This window comes from Homo sapiens, chromosome 1, assembly GCF_000001405.40.
Source record: "Homo sapiens chromosome 1, GRCh38.p14 Primary Assembly".
NCBI lineage: Eukaryota > Metazoa > Chordata > Mammalia > Primates > Hominidae > Homo > Homo sapiens.
The window spans coordinates 51785519-51804541 of NC_000001.11; the positions used below are offsets into that span (position 1 = coordinate 51785519).

Consider the following 19023-nt stretch of genomic DNA (forward strand, 5'->3'; position numbering starts at 1 on the left):
TGAACAGCTTGAGGATAGGGAATTTGCCAACTCTGTTATGGTCCTTGCACCCAGAATAGGACGTTCTTGCCCAAACCCACCATTCTTGGGATCTCAAGTTCATAAGCGTCCTGTTGAAGGCCCTCATTCTTATAGTTAGCCCTGGGGAGTCCAGTTCTGTTAAGATGCTTTCATCAAAAACTTCACAGTTGCTCTTCTGTGCTCTACTCTGTAGTTGGGCCACACTGAGCAGATTCTTTGGTAGAATTTTCAACTTGAGACTAACACAAGTATTTCCTTTTCTGTTCAGTTCTCCAAATGACAAGAAGTCTTTTTGCTCAATTGAAGGGGAATGGAATGGTGTGATGTATGCAAAATATGCAACAGGGGTAAGATCCTCTATTTTGCCACTTGTTTTAGGCTACATTAGATTGTACTCTATCCCTTTTTCTGGCTTCCTTCATTAGTACTTCCTTCATAATGCATTTCCTTCTACAGTATATTAGAGCTGGAACTTTAGGACAGCTCCAGTGTATGTCATCTCTTCAGGGCAAGCTTTTTCTTTCCTTCCCCCACCTTCTCCCAGCAGTATAGGTAATTATAATCATTTTTACTTTTCTCTCTGCTCTCAAAACACTTGAGAATAATATATGTAAAACAATGCCTGGCACATAGTAAGAACCCAGTAAATGTTAGGTATGTGGCGTATGTTTATAAAATGAAGCACTAAACTGTGTGTTTCCATACACACACAGTTGAAGATTTTGTATAATAAAATTTACTGACTGCCTGGCACCAGAGATACCAAAATGAGTTAAGATAGACCTTTCCTTCAAAGAACTTGCACTCTGTACTACTGCCCACTCAGTGTTCTTAAACAGAGGAAAGATGTTATGAAATTAACAGGAGGAGCCAGTTAACTGCATTTTGGACCTAGAGAATTTGAAGTGTCAAAAGCACTACAATGCATCTAACATTAGGTTAGGGGTTTATGGGTCTAGTTCCCATCCACCTCTATTGTTTTCTAGGAAAATACAGTCTTTGTAGATACCAAGAAGTTGCCTATAATCAAGAAGAAAGTGAGGAAGTTGGAAGATCAGAACGAGTATGAATCCCGCAGGTAAGCCGACATTGTTAAGTGGAACTATTGCTGCAGTGCTTAAACTTTGCCTAGGCGTAGGCACAGGGCTGGGTTTGAGAGACAGTAGGGCAGAGCATAATAGTATAGACCAAGTTTGAATTCCTGGGTTCGTATGTCAGAACTACCACTTACTACCTTTGTGACCATGGATGGCTCAGTCAGCTAACTTCTCTTTACCTTCTTTCCTGAAATGAGAATAAAGGCCTTGAGAGGAAGCCACATCTTAACTAACTTTAAAGCCTCTGTAATTTACTTCTTGACCCTTATTCTCTCCATTCATACTATTTTCTCCATCATATTGTTAAATCCAAGGGAGTTTTTCTGAAATGGAACTTCTCAGTTCCTCTAACACTTACAGGTATATATTAAGGGACACTCAAGCCCTACAGAGGTAAACTGATTGACCCAGAGTTGCACAGTAAGTTAGACATAGAGCCAGAAGTAGAATCCCAGGTCTCAGCTTCCACTATTCTTTTTCTTCTGTTGACCTTATCATACTATCAGGCAGCCCTTATTTCCTTCTTTGACAACTAGCAGTGGAGTCTTCTGAGCCCATATGTCTGTTCCTTACTCCAGTGCCCTGGTGCCAGCGTAAGGAGATTTAGTCTGTGACCTACAGCACTTAAAGCCATTTGACTTGTATTATACTATATTCAGGATGGCTGCAGGCTTTCATTCTCAACATTGGCAGCTCCTCTTACCTCTTTGTTTTAGCCTTTGGAAGGATGTCACTTTCAACTTAAAAATCAGAGACATTGATGCAGCAACTGAAGCAAAGCACAGGCTTGAAGAAAGACAAAGAGCAGAAGCCCGAGAAAGGAAGGAGAAGGAAATTCAGTGGGAGACAAGGGTAAGCTTGCCTGCCCCACCCTCCTAAGTGCTGTTCCTCCTAATTTATTTCAGTGAATGTTGAAGAAGTGATGTGCCAAACACTGTTTATAAACAAGATGATCGCTGGTCCCTACTTGAAACTCATTTCAGTCTAATGGCGGGGTGGGGAGCAGATATGAAATAGTAAGTATATTACAGAAGTACAAAGCAAATATGTAACTAAATTCTTCCTCTTTGTCTTACAGTTATTTCATGAAGATGGAGAATGCTGGGTTTATGATGAACCATTACTGAAACGTCTTGGTGCTGCCAAGCATTAGGTTGGAAGATGCAAAGTTTATACCTGATGATCAGGGCAGTAGGCATAATTCAGCAACAAACAATCTTCCTTTGGGAGAAACCTGTTCATTCCAATCTTCTAATTACAGTGGTTCCTATCTCAGGGATACTGGACTTTCTGACGCAGATGAACAATTAAGGGGAAAAGCTTCCCTTTTCCCTCTGTGGCAGTTACGATTTTGACTTCAGTCCTGAGAAAAACTTCAGGTTTTGAAAATCAGATGATGTCTTCTCCTTTTCCAAACACCACACGTTGAAAGCATTTATAAATCCAAGTCTGAAACTCTGCGCTCTAGTACTGCTGTTAAGATACACAACTTGTTTCTTAGTTCATATAATCTCGGGATACACACACACACACACATATATATACACACACATACGTATACACACACATACATATATATAAATATACCTGATGCCAGATTTTTTTCATAAATATTCTGCCTACTGTAAATATGGGTTCCTCTGAGTTGTTTTAGAAAATTAGCGCAATGTATTAAAATCAAGTGTTAGGAAATTTCATGGTCTTACCTACAATAACTTTTATTTTGGAATTGAACTATTATTAAATTGTATCTAATCCTGGATTACAGTTTAATTAATTATTCTTAGTGCTTAAGGCTTCATAAAGTAATTTTTCCAACCTTTTTTTTAAAAATGTGCATCTTTTATTATCTTTTATGGTTAAACTTGGAAGCCAATTATTTGGCAACCTTGAATACAAGAGCTAGCTTTTCAAAGAAAGACACTTGAAATAATGGAGGATCCATTCTTTTCCTCTGTCAGATTGTATGTTCTGTCTTTAGCCCCTGCCAGGCAATTCCCCAGAATCTTCACTTAACTCATATTGCACATGTAGGGCTGCCTACCAACATTTTATCCAAAAATGTTTTATTGCCTTAGAGGGTTTGGGAAGAGTGTGTATTTATAGATCCCCACCCCACAGTGAACAAAAATAGATAGATAGATAGAATAAAATGAATGCCACAGCAGCAGATGGCTCATTCTGAAGGGAAATACAGAACTATATCTATCTATCTATCTATCATCTTTTTTATTTAAAAATACATTAAAAAAACAGGTATTAGTACCTAGCATTTAGTTAGTTATTCAATATACTGGTTACGTAAGGCCTTTCAAGAAGTAGATTCTCAGTCTGAGAGGACACAGGCCAGGGCTTCTCAAAGTGCTGCTGCAGGCTTTCTGGTCTCGCTTGGCCCATTCTGCTAATTTTCCTTTGCCAGCTCCTACAGTAACCCTGGGTTTATTAGTCTCAACAAAGGATAAAAAGTAAATCAAATGCTATGATGCCAGTGCAAAACTTCAATGGAAGCCCTAAGGCAGTAGTATAACTAACTCCATAAAATACAAACAAACACATTTTAAAATACACATTGCTTCAGGCCAACGTGACTGCAGTTTATTTATTTGACTATTTTATGGTAGGGGAGAAGGTTGAGTGTTGTTGTGAAAGCCCTGATATCAGTAATGGGGATGATACAATCTGCCAGCAGAGGAGAGGTTGGCAGGTAGGTCAGCTGCATCACTTCACAAGAAGAATTTGAATCCTCACTAGAAGGGGTACCATCCTCTTCCAGTTCATACTTCCCATATCCAACAACCTGAAAGAGGACAAAGACAAAAGTGAAAAATATGCTGACCAGATTTAGGGGTTTAAGAGTTCTGATGATAACCACCCAAACTCACTCAGTAAATGACAACCCTAGAATGGATGGAGTTAGTTAAACATACTCACATGAACGCTGAGCATTTTACTTCCTGGCCCTCTATGGGCCTTGAACCAGTTGACCAGGTCTGATTTTGAGAATGACTTCAGTGCTTCAATCTTACAAGGGAAGGGAAGATAGGAAAGAAATTCAAGAAGAAAGATAGCTCTTAAACCTAACCCCCAGGCAGATGTCCCTGGACCTGCTTAGCATCTGAAGACCTCATTTTATTCTTCCTATTCTCAGGTTACCCCTAACCTTCCAGACCAAAACGATGATGAAGCTCTCTGGCATGCCTTCACATTTTATACCAATCATCTACAATGGCAAGAGAGGTTAGCAGATGCTATAATTACAGCTAAATACCATACACTGAGCCCAACACCCACATCCCCTTAGTGTCACCTCCCAATTACATGGTAGCTGCATACCACGGCTTGAGGAAATCTACCTTGCTTCTATTAAGAAAACTAAAATGTGTTAAGATGAAGCCTCTTACTAAATAACCTCTTTACATCACAGAGCAATGATGTCCTATGGTAATTCACCATGTAGGGGCTATGTATTAACCAAAGTCACACTGGAGTACAAGATCCAGATCTTTTTCATAGGTTTTACTACTTTGGAATAGAAGTTGTCAAAACACATGCACTTGGAATAATGAACTCCGTAAAGACAAAGAGTCCTCAATTTTCTTTAAACGGCAAAACTCTTTTTCTCCACAAAATCTTGTAGACCTCAATATATAGCATAAAAATAGAGCTGCTCTGATTGAAATTGGTGGTGGTGTGGTAAGGATTAGCACCCAGCTCACGTGGCCACCTAAGGTGCTAGAGAGGCCAGTCTGAAAACTCAGGAAGTGAGCGAGTAATCAGGCCAGGACTAGTGTTTCGAGTTTCTCTTCCACACAATGCTGGTGTGCACAGACCTGTGATGCCTGTAGAATCAGGAACCTTGACCAGTTTGAGCTGTCTTACTCTGAAAACCATGTTACCTCGTGGGCAAGGCGGTCAAAGAGGTACTGCTGTGTAACCACTTCATTCCAGTTCCTATCCACCTCCTCCCCAAGGTGGGTATCCTCACACTCCTTCAGCTTGATGAGAGCTGTGACCTGTTCCCACCAAAAAGAAAGATGCTCAGGTGAGGCAACATACCACTTCCCACAGAACACACTGGGCCCTGTCCAGCCCGGCTTGTGATGGACATGCCAGTATAAGAGGCACGGATGAAGCTAGGGAGACACTATTGTAAGAGGAAGGTGGGGCTGCAAAGCTCAAAAACTGGCCGGCGAAGCCCTGTTAAGATTTGTATCTGGGGGCTTGTGTGGGCCAAAGGCCAAAAGACCAGGCTGGCACAGTCACCTGGGTGTTGAATGCCTCTTCAGTGAGGTTCTCAATCTTCTCCTCAAAGCTAGAAAGAAACTCTTCTATCTTCTTATCAACAACTTCAGAACTGAAACAAAACATCTTCAATCAGAACTAAAACAAAACATCTTCAATTAAGTCATCAGAAACCCGATCTCAGGCAGAAGGCAAAAGAAGGAATTAAGACTAAGACATATATCCAGGAAAAAAAGCTAAAGTGTTTTCCCAGGCCTCAGTATTCCACCTGACTTTGAGGACAGAAAGAGAAAGAACCCTCCCCCTCACCCCACCTCCAGCCCAGTTTCCTGGTATCCTCATAATGAAGCAGTCACAACCATGTATGACCATTCCAAAGCTGAAAACTAACAGGTTTCAGCAATGCCTGTCAGATCAGGCATCCTTTCCCTTCTTGTCCTCAGGTCTGCCTGAAGAGAAGAAACACTGGCAAGCCCCACACAATGACCACAGGACTTGAATCAAGTCTGAAAGGGCCACTGGAACTATTGATCAGTCCTGGAACAGACCATCTATAACAACCCCCATCTTCCCAGCTTCCACTGACTAAATAGAGCAAACCTGCTTGGTCAGGGTTGCCCAAGGTTTAAGGAAACACATGTAGCCCCTACTCTCCATGTCCATAATAGGTTACACTCATCTATTCACTCACTCACTCACTTGTATTTGGTTGCCTGAGTCCCCACAGTGACAGAAAATCCTAGAATCCCGGATGTGTTCCTACAGGTAGGGTAGACATGGTACCTACAAGCCAGAGAGAAAAGTTATATGAGCTCAGGTGATCATCTGGGCCCTGGCCTTGGAGGCACTAGATAGGAGTGGGAAAAGTTTCTGCCCATCCTTATTGGAACTGGAAGTCCTGAAACAGGACCCAAAAATGTTAAGGTGTCCATACCTCTCCTGAATTGGGGACCACAAACTAGCCTTTTTTCTTATCTTGAAACTTGACCAAACTGAAAACCTGATTACAGTCAAAGATACAAATTCCAAAAGTTTGGATGACTAAATATCACCCTATGAGATGGAAGGAAGCTCTAACAGGCTGCTCAGTAGGGATATCTGATGAACAGCCTGCAAAGTAAGCCCTAGGCCCTTATTTGAGCTCAGTGGCCCTGCCAGCTGACTTACCCAAGGGTCTGCTTGGTTCGAAGGAAGTCAAAACAAGGTTCTTCCATGTGCATCTGTAATTCAACATACTGCCCATCAGCCCAACTCCTCCCAGCAGAGAAACCTCCATTTCTCTCCCCAGAGTGTTTCACATACCTCCCAAGTCCAGCCTCCCTTAGTGCCTTTTTCCTAATTGGCCCAGGCTTATACTGGGTGAGAACAGTAAATGACCATCTCACCTTCAAATCACAGATCTCTGACTACCCCATGTCCCTAACCCAGGCAGAAAAGGCCGGGCCTCATAGTGGGTCAGGGGCTGCTGAAAACCTCAGCATCTCCTTTATGCACTTACCACAAGCAGCTCCATAAGCGTATATTCTCTTAGACTCCTGGTACCTGACTGAAAAGAGAAGGTTGTCAGGCCAACTGAATATCCAGTGGTTTACAGGGCTTTTAAATAATCCAGCTATTCTAGGCAACCACTTAGGTATCACCACCAATCGCTCTCCCCCAAGAGAGTTAATCATACTTTGATGTTGTTTACATATCTGCTTTCCCACCAGACTGAAGGTCTATGAGGACAGGAGTCATGCTTGACCATTTGTACTCCCGGCACTAGCATAGAATTGCAGGTGCAAACAAAGGTGAGATTAATAATCCCTGACCTGCCAGATCCTGTCAGAGGACACATTCTAAAATTAAGTACTTGCAACTCAAAGCCCTAAGGAAGACAGCAGGAAATGTTTGGGGATCCTGAAATGTATCTGGATCTATTCCTCAAGAGGAGAGAAAATGAATAGTGCCACACAACAAGAACCAGTGCCACATAAAAGGACCAAAACCAGTTGATAAGAAAAATACTTCAGAGAAAGAAGCCACGCTTTGGGACCACATGCTAGCTGCCCAAGACTGGCAAAATAATGCATTCAGAATGAAAGGACAGGAGGCCAATAAACAAGGATGTTGCTAGTGCCTCCCAGAGTCAGGATCTTGCAGGTTCCTCTCACACAGACTCATTTGCTTCCCACTCACCAGAGGAAGAGGCTAATGCCTATGTGCCCTTGCAAGACCTGATTAGTCAGCATTGAGATTTTCTGTTTCCCTCTAAACAGACCACAACAAAACCAATGCTCTCTGAGAAAGGATATGGTTTCCAAAAGGGAACAGTTTGTATTAGAAGCTAGTGCTAAGAGGTGACTGATGGAAAGCATTTCTATAAACATAGTCTTACAATGTGAAATCCTGCCGAAAATGAGTACTCCTGTACCGGGGTTGTAAGCAGTCAGAGGCACTGAAAATGTAGACTAGGTTAAGAAAGGCTAGGCTGTACCATTTGTGGAGTTTGGGACCTGGTAGTCATAACCTAGAAGAGGCTGCAGGTTGGAATGCTACAGCCACAGAGGCTCCAGAGAGAAGCAGGGCCTCTACGGAAGGACAAAAATATTATCAACCTAGCTCCAAAAGTGCTGTTGCTCCTGAATCAAAGTACTCATTAAGAAGACTAGGACAAGACACAACTTCACTAACAAGAGATGACCGTGACATCGGGCAAGTGAATTTGCTCCTGACAGCCAGACCAGGATAATGTCAGAATAAGGCTGAGGCCCAGGGGCAGAGATACAAGACAAAGAAATGATAATCAGTCCATCCCACCCAAAGCCCAGTCAGGGATCTTCACAAGACCTGACAAAGAAGTGAATTCCTGATGCAGGGAACCCAAGATAACAGCAGCGGCTACAGGAGCCCCAGAATTTGGGGAGTCAGTAATCAGACTAGACAGGCAAGGTTTAAGGAAGATCCCCGTGGTTCTAGAAGCGAGTGGGACCAACCACAGGTTAAAGCAGGCTATAGGCTAGAGCTAACTGTGATTACTGCCACGTGCTTCCTTCCTTTAAGCACCACACACCCCAGTAGAATGGTGTGGAAAGAACACAGAATCTGAAGACAAAAGGAATAATCTGAGACCCAGCTGGTACGACCTCAAGAAGTAAGGGGCTCTGGATCATGGAGTTGTCACCCTAAAACAGAGGTGATAAATCCTTCCTCTCAGGTGCTTTAAACATTTATGACTCTAGTAGTCGTTCTCTTTGCTGTGTCTTAATTGTTTGGCTATGTTTACTTCTGTCTTCTTTTCAAAACTGCCCCTTAACAAATGTCCTTCTGCTACTTGGGAGTTCTATCAGGGGCACATGTAGGGATTTCCACCCACACCTCGGTTTCTGGCCCTCTAGATTAGTACTTAGGTGATTAATGAAGCAATACCTCACTGTGATTGAAAAAGGATCCATTTTACCAACAGGAGCAATTTTTAAATGTAGTTGCTTCAAGAGGACAAATGGCCCCAAGCATGAAACTACAGAAGTAACTATAAAAGGGCCTTGAAGGTCACGGGGTCCCTGATCCCCAGGCACTGGGCCTTCCGCCAGTCTTTAGTACACCCAACTGACCTGGTAGTACACAGTGACTTCAGAGTTGGCATCACCCTTGTTCAGAGCTTTCACTTTGCATAGATGGTGGCCACTGGGCAGCTCTACCACCTGGAACTGCACAGGCATCTCCTGCTCCAGAGGCTTGAAGTTTAGTTTGCTGCAAGAGAATCAGTATGGGTCACTGAGGCACCCAAAAACTATAAGAAGCTAGGCCTTCTAACTTTTCAATTGCCTTGTACACCAGCCTCAAAAAAATCTACTACAAGTAGTATTTCAATTGGGTGTTTAGTAACAATTAACTGAATTGTGGCTCCATGCCCTCTCGCTGGTAAGAACACATAACCCCAAAGAGAAAATTCAAATACTTACTCAACAACATATTTCAGGAAATCCATAGATTCCTAAGAGGCAAAAGAGAATAACTACATTAAGCTCTCTAGACATTCATTTCACCCAGAATCAGCTAATATCAATGTTCCAATTGCTTGGGGAGCCCTGCATAGCTTTAGGAAAGCAGATATAGTTGGTGACCTAAATGCTGGCAAGTTATTCATTGACTGATTCAAGATTGATTGTGTTTGTGGAACACTAAGCAGCTCTTAACTGTTCTGGCTCTCTTGGCAATCTGTTTACCCATAATACAGTTTCCCAACTGGATCAAACTTAATTGTTCAGTGTTGGTTTACCCAACTAGGCTGTGGCCTTTATGACAACATGGACTATGTTTCAGAATCCTGGGCCCATTGACATAGAACCTGGATAAAGCAAAGAAAATAACATTTAATACTGAGTGAATACATCCTCTTCCCTTCTTAAGAATTCTGTTTTCTTATCTATAAAATAAGGGATAAATGGAGGGATTAGCTCTTCTCTAAAGTGATTTCTACTGGAGGAAATTCATGGTACTAAGGACTCTGTATCAAAAGCCCTTGCCTGGTACTTCAACGGTGCTCGGAAAAACAGGCAGCCTATTTCTTCTCTTCCCTTTGTGGACTGAGACTTAAGATTCTTTTGGTGGCCAAGACAGAAACTAAGGCTGGTTCTGGGGTTGCAGAATGAAGATAGAGAGAAAGGGGAGGATAGCAGCCACAATTTCAAGAGTGGCCATTTATATATTCCAATCAAAGGGCCAGCCCTGAGAAACTGGGAAGGCATGGAGGAGGATGGTTAATAACAAAACAGTTCAGGGAGAGAATCTTGAACAAGCATCTGACTGAGGAAAAGGCCTTAGTCAGGTACAAGGCCCCACAGACATTTCCAACTAAATACGTATCAGAACAAACTCCTCATATGCTCCCACTCTTACTACTGTTCCTGTTCCACCAACCCACTGCTTCAAGAAAGAAATCTGGGCATCATTCTAGACTGCCTTCTCTCTCACTCCCACTGAGTGAATTTCCATCATCTTCTATTTCTTAAGCACTTCTTTAAACAAACAAAAAAAAACACCAGGGTCTTGCTTTATTGCCCAGGCTGGAGGGCAGTGGCATGACCTCAGCTCACTGCAGCCTCCACTTCCTGGGCTCAAGCAATCCTCCCACCTCAGCCCCCAAGTAGCTGAGATTACAGGTGTGCATTGCTACACCCAGCTAATTTTTTTTAATTTTTTTGGAAGTGGTGTCTCACTATGTTGCCCAGGCTGGTCTCAAACTACTGAGCTCAAGCGATTCTGCCACCTTAGCCTCCCAAAGTACTGGGATGACAGGCATAAGCCACCATGTCCAGCCTTAAGCAATTATTTTTCATTTATTTGGCCTAACATCAGGCTTCAATATTTTTCACTCCCAACTCTTTTTTTTTTTTGAGACAGACTCTCACTCTGTCACCCAGGCTGGAGTGCAGTGGCGTGATCTCGGCTCACTGCAACCTCTGCCTCCCAGGCTCAAGTGATTCTTCTGCCTCAGCCTCCCAAGAAGCTGGGATTACAAGATGCCCACCACCACACCTGGCTAAGTTTTGCATTTTTAATAGAGACAGGTTTTCACCATGTTGGCCAGGCTGGTCTTGAATCCCTGGCCTCAAGCAATCTGCCTGCCTCAGCCTCCCAAAGTGCTGGGATTACAGGCGTGGGCCGCCTTGCACAGCCTTCACTCCAGCTTTTTATTTTGATAAAATAATATAAAGTTTATAATCTCAACTTTTTTTTTTTTTAGACGAGGAGTCTCACTCTGTCGCCCAGGCTGGAGTGCAGTGGCACAGTCTCAGTTTAGTGCAACCTCCGCCTCCCGGATTCAAGCAATTCTCCTGCCTCAGCCTCCCGAGTAGCTGGAACTACAGGCATGTGCCACCAAGCCCGGCTAATTTTTGTATTTTTAGCAGAGACGGGGTTTCACCATGTTGGCCAGGTTGGTCTCGATCTCTTGACCTTGTGATCCGCCCACCTCGGCCTCCCAAAGTGCTGGGATTACAGGCGTGAGCCACCGCGCCTGGCCAATCTCAACCATTTTTAAAAGTGTGCAGTTCAGGGCCAGGCACGGTGGCTCACACCTGTAATCCCAGCACTTTGGGAGGCCGAGGTGGGCAGATCACGAGGTCAGGAGATCGAGACCATCCTGGCCAACACGGTGAAATCCCATCTCTGCTAAAAATACAAAAAATTAGCTGGGTGAGGTGGCAGGTGCCTGTAGTCCCAGCTACTTGGGAGGCTGAGGCAGGAGAATGGCGTGAACCGAAGAGGTGGAGGTTGCAGTTGGGCCAAGATCACGCCACTGGACTCCAGCCTGGGTGACAGAGCGAGACTCTGTCTCAGAAAAAAAAGGGGTACAGTTCAATAATGTTAACTATATTCACACTGTTGTGCAGTAGATTAGATTTTCAGAACTTTTTCATCTTGCAAAACCAAAATTCTGTACCCATAAAATAACTTGTCTCTTCCCTCTTCTCCCCAACTACTGGAAACCACCATTATATTTTCTGCTTCTATGAATTTGACTACTTTAGATAACTCCTATGAGTGGAATCATATCTGTACTTTAAAACAGCTTCATAACTTGTCTCTCTGGATATTTCTTAACCACAAATCTTCTTAAATCCTTTAATGGTTCTCCATTTCTACAGGATAAAGCCCAGCACCTTAGCTTCACAAACAGGCTTGACATACTAGTTCTGGCTATGTATGTATGTATCTATGTATGTATCCGTATGTATGCACACACATCCCTCACCATTTCCTTCCTCCCATTTTAGCCTCTATACTAAACTGTTCATGGTTTCCACATACAATCTTCAACAAAGGTAACAAACAGTATAGATACGCCAAACCCATTTCACTCAAAATCCTAGTCTATTACCAGCAATCTATTTTTCTCTCTCTCTTTCTTTATTTCTTTTCTTTTGAGACAGGGTCTTACTCTGTTGCCCAGGCTGGAATACTGTGGTGCAATCATAGCATGCTGTAGCCCCAAACTCCTGGGCTCAAATGATCCTTCCACCTCAGCCTCCCAAGTAGCGGAGACTATAGGCATGTGCCACCATGCCTGGCTAATTTTTTATTTTTTGTAGGGATGAGTTCTCACTGTGTTGCCTGGACTGGTCTCGAAATCCTGACCTTAAGTAATGCTTCTGCCTTGGCCTCCCAAAATGCTGAAATTACAGGCGTGAGCCATCATTCCCAGCCCAGCAGTCTTCATCTTAAGAAGAAAGCTGCCCAGCATCAGAGGGGTCAGGTTCCCTTCTAAACAGAATATGATAATGCTGGCCTGCCAAAACTACAGCTTCCCCTTTAGGAAAGAACTATGGCAATTCCAGAGTTCACAACTGCATTCAGACCTGGCCTACAGAGCATCTCACACTCACTGTGCTTGTGACATTCCCTTGTACCAGGCCCTCCACAAAGAGCTGGGATTTGAATTCTTTGACGAAGCTCAGCAGAGACTCAAGGGAAAGGCCGTCCATCAAAGCCTGGTACTTGTCAATCATAGACCAACGGGCATATTCCAAGATTAAAAGCCGTACATCTCTGTACAGAGGGCAGAAAAAAAACACTCAAAGTTTTGTTATTAGAAATGAATCTTCAGAATAAAGAAATGTTTGGTCAAAGTTCTATAAAGGATGTGTTTCTAAAGAGAGACCATTTTTATCACAATGTAAGATGGGAAAACAGTATCAGATTAACCAAAAAAGTACTGAAAACCACATACACAAACTTTAAACAAATTTACTTAGCAGTACAAAAATGCACTTACCTGTCTCAGTTGCAGGGTAAAATATTTCACATAAAAGTAAAGCTGCCAGATGAGTCAAGTTTACTTAGTTGTACACTGATTTAAAATTATTACTATTTTGGTTTGAAATCTCACTAATATTTCATTAATTACTAGAAGCCATCATTTGGGATATCTATTACTGCAGTGACAATATAATACAGGTAACGGCTCTGGTCCAGAATCAGATTAACTTCATCCCCCATTTCCACAACCCCACCCCAAATAAGCTGTTTGAATTTGACAAATCTACTAACATCTATGATTCAATTTCTTCATTTGTAAAACAGGGGAAGTATTCGTGAGAGGTAACCGTTTTGGATAGAATTGAATTAATGAATTTATATAACAGTTCTTAGATCTAGCACAAAAATCTTCAACAAACAGGTTTATTATTATTCTTTTATAAAGTAAATTTCAGGAGTTGAATTTTAATAAAATAGAAGGTTGTGTTTAATAATGTATTTTTATAAATAAATAAAGTAGTATTCATGAGTTATTGGCAGGGCTATTCACCGTATCAATGGTTGCAGATAACTCTCCTTTTTTTATTATTATACTTTAAATTCTAGGGTACATGTGCACAATGTGCAGGTTTGTTACATAGGTATACATGTACCATGTTAGTTTTGCTGCACCCATCAATTCGTCATTTACATTAGGTATTTCTCCTAACACTATCCCTCCCCCAGCACCCCCACCCCCCAACAGGCCCTGGTGTGTGATGTTCCCTCCCTGTGTCCATGTCCTTTCTAACATATATCTAGTTATTAGTTTTTGTAACTTTCTGTGATCAGAATATCAGTTATTACATGACTGATTCCTAACCCCTTCTTTCTAATTCTGGAAACTGATGGGTTCATTACAGCTGTGTCAAAAGCAGAACCTTTACGCTGTTCACTATTTATAGATGCCCAGGGCAAAACTGTCAAGTAGGGGCTAGCCAGTCATGTGCACAAAGGGGTAGGTCTGTTCAGAGGACTTTTCTCTCCCTCCCACAAAGGCTCTACCTGCTAATAGAGGGTACCTCAGAAGGATACTTTTTTCTGATTCACGCAAAAGTATCCTACAGGCTACAATTAGCCCTGGACTAAAGTAGTAAGAACAGGCTCTGAATGAAGGCCCAAGGGGGTTGCCTGTGAGCAGAGGGTTTAAGTATTAGCATACAGACTGTGTAGCTGCCTTTCTGCTCTCTTCTGGAAGCTTGGCTGAATTCTGGATAGTTAAGATTGCTAGATAAGTGACATGTTTAGCAATTTAACTCAGCTACTAATCACCAACATACTAAAATCACCAGTAAATACTTCTTCTGGTTTGTTTTTTGTTTGTTTTTCTATGAGACAGGGTCTATCTCTGTCATGCAGGTTGGTGTGCGGTGGCATGATCATGGTTCACTGCAGCCTCAACCTCCTGGGCTCAAGCAATCCTCCCACCTCAGTCTGCCAAGTAGCTGGGACTACAGGCATGTGCCACCACACCCAGCTAATTTTTTAATTTTTTGTAGAGATGAAGTCTTGCTATATTGCCCAGGCTAGTCTTGAACTTCTAGGCTTGTGATCCTCCCACCTCAGCTTCTCAAAGTGCTGGGATTACAGATATAAGCTACCATGCCCGGCCTAAAACTAGCACTTCTTTAACATTCAGGTATAATGATTGGTGAAAACACCCTTCCTTACTTTTAGTCTCTACAGTAAGCTGCTTTCAGTCCCATTCACAGCTAGCTACATAAGCTGGGTTTAGAAATACCGTAACGCTATGCACGGGTCTCCTAAACTAGAGCACGATTCAAACACGGATGAAAATTAGCACTGCAACTATAGCCTTAACCCCCACACCCACCCACTAGGGAGAGTAATACTTTCAGGTCCTCAAAATATAAGCTCATCTCATTTATACCCACTTGGCCAAAGTCTCGGGCTTGATGAGGATGTTAAAGTAGGTCTTCTTCAACTGCTCAGTTATCATTGTAAAGACAGCTGGTGTGGAATTGAACTCAGCTAAGTAGTCAATAATGAGCTGAAACAGTAGCTAAAAGAAAAAGAAGGAAGCATTTTAAGAAGCATGGAAATCCACTAGGTATTAGGGAGGGAAATGTTTCTCTTTGGTTTTTACCAGGTACCCAGCATGGAACTAGGCATTGTGGGGGGACATAAGAAAATTACTAACAACTCAATTTGTTCGTTTGTTTGTTTGGGTGTTACCTGGAGACAGGATATCACTGGTCACCCAGGCTGGAGTGCAGTGGTACTATCGACTGTAATTCATTATAACCTCGAATGCCTAGGCTCTAGCCATACTCCCACCTCAGCCTCCTGAGTAGCTGGGACTACAGACAGGGGCCACCATGCCCGGCTAATTTTTTTGCTTTTGTACAGACAAGGTCTTCTTATGTTGCCAGGCTGGTCTCAAACTCGTGGCCTCAAGTGATCCTCCTGCCTCAGCCTCCTAGCCTCAAAGAATCTTAAGGGTCCAAAATTCTAAATAATTGTCAAATTTGGAACAATTCTTCCTTTTTTATCATTTCATGGGTGTTCTCAATAAGATTTGTAGTTTGTCTTCAGATAGATCCTATACTTTTCCTGTTTATTCTTAGCCATTTTATTGGCTTTTTTTTCTCAATATTGTAAATAAATGTAAGATTGTTTCCATCCATTTGTTTCTTTCTTTTTTTAAGAGACAGAGCCTCGCTATATCGCACAGGCTAGTGACACGATCATAGCTAAGTATCCTCAAACTCAAGTATTTCTCCTGCCTCATACTCCGGAGGAGTTGGGACCACCGGCACATCCCACTGTGCCTGGCTTCCATTTCTAAGTGATTACTGGTACTATGGGGGAGAAAAAGCCATTGATTCTGATATACTAGTCTTTTGACCAGCCATATCACACCTAATTTTTTTTTTAATTTTAGTGGTATATGAGGTTTTCTAAGAATACAATCATATCATCTGCAAGGAAAAATATTTTTTCCAAAAAAGTTTTTATTTTTTCATCTTACTCTAATAGCCAGAACCTCTAAAACAATAACAGAATAATAGAGATGATTGTGGATTATTCTTGGCTTGTTGCTGATGTCAGTGTTCATCATTTTATCAGTTAATGTAATGTCCGCTGATAGTTCTTTACTTGAGGTTTTTTGATTTTTTTTTTGAGATGGAGTCTTCGCTCTATTGCCCAGGCTGGAATGCAGTGGCGCGATCTCGGCTCACTTCAAGCTCCGCCTCCCAGGGTCACACCATTCTCCTGCCTCAGCCTCCCGAGTAGCTGAGACTACAGGCGCCTGCCACCACGCCTGGCAAATTTTTTGTATCTTTAGTAGAGACGGGGTTTCACTGTGTTAGCCAGGATGATCTCGATCTCCTGACCTCGTGATCCGCCCGCCTCAGCCTCTCAAAGCACTGGGATTACAGGCGTGAGCCACCGCGCCAGGCTGAGGTTTTTATACTTAATTAATTTCCTTCCATTCCTATGTATTAGGAATGCCAACTCAAATTTATCAAATGATTTATCAGCATTTATCACTATATTCATACAGTGGCTCTCCTTTGACTTGTGTTGTGGTGACTTATGATCATCAATTTCCTAATATTCCACAACCCTAGCATTCCTGGTACTTGAATTATTCTTTTTGCTAAACTGGATTTAATTTTTAGAAAGTTTACATCTATATTCTACAGATAAAATTGATCTCTAGTTTTCTATACATACATACATACATATATATATGTTATATATTAGGTTTTAATATTAAGGCTAAGTCTCACAAATTCAAGAATATCAAATACTTTTCCATGGTTTGTATTTTTAATAAGCTCTCCAGGTAATTCTAAAACATATTTTCCAAATGACAACCACTGAATTAGGCTTTAATCTGCTTGAAACTTAAGCTACATTATATTTAGGCCTCAGAGGCTGACAAAGTAAAATTATTCTTGGCTTGTTGCTGATGTCAGTGATCATCATTTTATCAGTTAATGTAATGTCCGCTGATAGTTCTTTACTGATGGCGTCTCCTTCTGAGACCAATCTTTGTTCCATGGGGAGATGGAGAAGGGAAAAGGCATAAAAAGGTGAGAGCTATACTCTTCTCTTGGGTTTTTGCCCAGATGAAGGCTATTAACACCTAGCACAGGTCTTTCTGGCAGGTCCTTTCCTCTAAAATTTTTCTTGTATAACCCTATTTCCCTAAATCTTAATATAATATATATTCTACCCAAGAAACCTAGATATAAAATTTATTATTGAGTATATTATATTGCTTTACCTGGTATTCAGTAATCTAACTCTCTTAGCTAACAACCCATTATTTTTTCCTCCTCTTATGAAGTTTTTGATGAAGCAATACTGGAACATATTTCTCACTAAGAGATTAATAACTGACATGATACAGACCCTGCTTCGGAAAGGTTCATAAACTTAGAAGGGAAACAAGACACACATACTTGAAACAATGAGGAGCATAAGATGAGGAAGTAAGGGCACAAGCATTTGAGTTCTACTCTATTTCAGGCAAAACACCAGTCAAATTTGTTATTCCACAGCCGGCATGGTGGCTCACGCCTATAATCCCAGCACTTTCAGAGGCTGAGGCAGGCAGATCACTTGAGGTCAGGAGTTCGAGATCAGCCTGGCCAACACGGAGAAACCCCATCTCTACTAAAAATACAAAAATTAGCTGGGTGTGGTGGTGCGTGCCTGTAGTCCCAGCTACTCAGCAGGCTGAGGCATGAGAACTGATTGAACCCGGGAGGCGGAGGTTGCAGTGAACCAAGATCACACCACTGCATTCCAGTCTGGGTGATGGAGTGAGTATCTGTCTCAAAAAAAAAAAAAAAAAAGGTTATTCCTGTATGGTAAAAAATTTAGCTAGAACCAATCCTAAATGCCAGTGTTGGTTGTGGAGAAACTGACAGCAAAGGGAAGTGAAATCAATCCTAAAGCATGGGCTATAATCCCATGCACTGCCAGTAATTAATGAAACATATGTTGTTCTTATGGATAGTCAGTCACAGTTAGAATAGCTGTCATCAGCCAAGAATATTCAAGATAATCCACATTAATAAACATTTATTTCTCTATACAGCATCCCATGCACAAACCTCTAAATAAATATGGTATTTTAATGCTCTCTATAAGGAAAACAGAGTACTTGTACTTACAGGTAGTTTGTGGTTAAATCCTTTCACTCGAATAATTAAACCATGTTCTCCAGCTACCAGTTTATACTCCAGCTGTGCCACATCTGCTTCATAAGCTGGTTCCGCAAGGTTATGCGTAAGGATATTGACAAAGATATCAAAGAGGACCACACTAAGAAGTACAAAATGCAAATGGCATCTTTAATTGGTAAGAAAGACACATGAAATAGATTTGCTTCAATTTAGAGTAAGCAGCTTCATTTTTAGAAAGTATAAATTCTCTACTCCAGAATGTAAAAGGTAATACAGCTTACTCAGGATTCAGTTTCAGAGGTGTATTACAGAATTCCTACCTTCAGCAGTGTTTCCCAATCTTTTTCATGTCATGTACACATGCAAAATGATAATATTTATATTGTACAATGAGGTAAATGGAATAGGCATCAGCAGCACTGGCCTGAAGGCTCTGTCTACCCTCCAAGTCTAGGCATTCTGACTAATTAAAAATATGAGTTTGGGAATGCATTTTTTAGAGTGAATATTAACAAATTCTAGTGCTGCTTGTCATTTTAAGTTTGGATTTTACAGTTACGTAGGAAAAGAAAGAAGAAATGCACCAACATTTCCCAAGTATCTCCTACGTTCAGACACATTTCCCAAGTATCTCCTAGGTTCAGACACATTTCCCAAGTATCCGCTACGTTCAGACACATTTCCCAAGTATCTCCTACGTTCAGATACATTTCCCA

General features: G+C 41.7%; 2 protein-coding genes across 19 annotated transcripts in view, besides 2 other annotated features; one reads left to right on the forward strand and one right to left on the reverse strand.

Annotated features, from left to right (window-relative positions):
- Positions 1–3701, forward strand: part of OSBPL9 (oxysterol binding protein like 9) — a 270948-nt gene extending 267247 nt beyond the window's left edge. For 12 of the 16 annotated variants that reach the window (NR_036662.2, NM_148909.4, NM_001350208.2 and 9 more), the window contains 4 exons: positions 290–368; positions 1008–1099; positions 1835–1970; positions 2197–3701. Coding sequence is in view for 15 of the 16 variants with exons in the window: in NM_148909.4 (NP_683707.3) it covers positions 290–368; positions 1008–1099; positions 1835–1970; positions 2197–2271 (382 nt within the window). In the remaining variant the exon portion in view is untranslated. The remainder of the gene's footprint in view (positions 1–289; positions 369–1007; positions 1100–1834; positions 1971–2196) is intronic. The other 4 variants (NM_001416294.1, NM_001416293.1, NM_001416292.1 and 1 more) reach the window with 1 other exon arrangement.
- Positions 1425–1625: a silencer, noted in NCBI's record as "peak222 fragment used in MPRA reporter construct". NCBI's record gives its function as "represses an SCP1 promoter by STARR-seq MPRAs in K562 erythroleukemia cells {active_cell/tissue: K562}" and the evidence as "EXISTENCE:reporter gene assay evidence [ECO:0000049][PMID:32103011]".
- Positions 3105–3305: a silencer, noted in NCBI's record as "peak223 fragment used in MPRA reporter construct". NCBI's record gives its function as "represses an SCP1 promoter by STARR-seq MPRAs in K562 erythroleukemia cells {active_cell/tissue: K562}" and the evidence as "EXISTENCE:reporter gene assay evidence [ECO:0000049][PMID:32103011]".
- The window catches only part of NRDC (nardilysin convertase), an 89518-nt gene continuing 74186 nt past the window's right edge, over positions 3692–19023 (reverse strand). For all 3 annotated transcript variants that reach the window (NM_001101662.2, NM_002525.3, NM_001242361.2), the window contains 12 exons: positions 18296–18446; positions 15038–15165; positions 12731–12893; positions 9305–9336; positions 8954–9092; positions 6859–6906; positions 6528–6580; positions 6060–6143; positions 5382–5472; positions 5015–5131; positions 4050–4139; positions 3692–3915 (listed from right to left, as the gene is read on the reverse strand). In NM_001101662.2, the coding sequence (NP_001095132.1) occupies positions 3718–3915; positions 4050–4139; positions 5015–5131; positions 5382–5472; positions 6060–6143; positions 6528–6580; positions 6859–6906; positions 8954–9092; positions 9305–9336; positions 12731–12893; positions 15038–15165; positions 18296–18446 (1294 nt within the window). In that variant the 3' untranslated portion in view covers positions 3692–3717. The remainder of the gene's footprint in view (positions 3916–4049; positions 4140–5014; positions 5132–5381; positions 5473–6059; positions 6144–6527; positions 6581–6858; positions 6907–8953; positions 9093–9304; positions 9337–12730; positions 12894–15037; positions 15166–18295; positions 18447–19023) is intronic.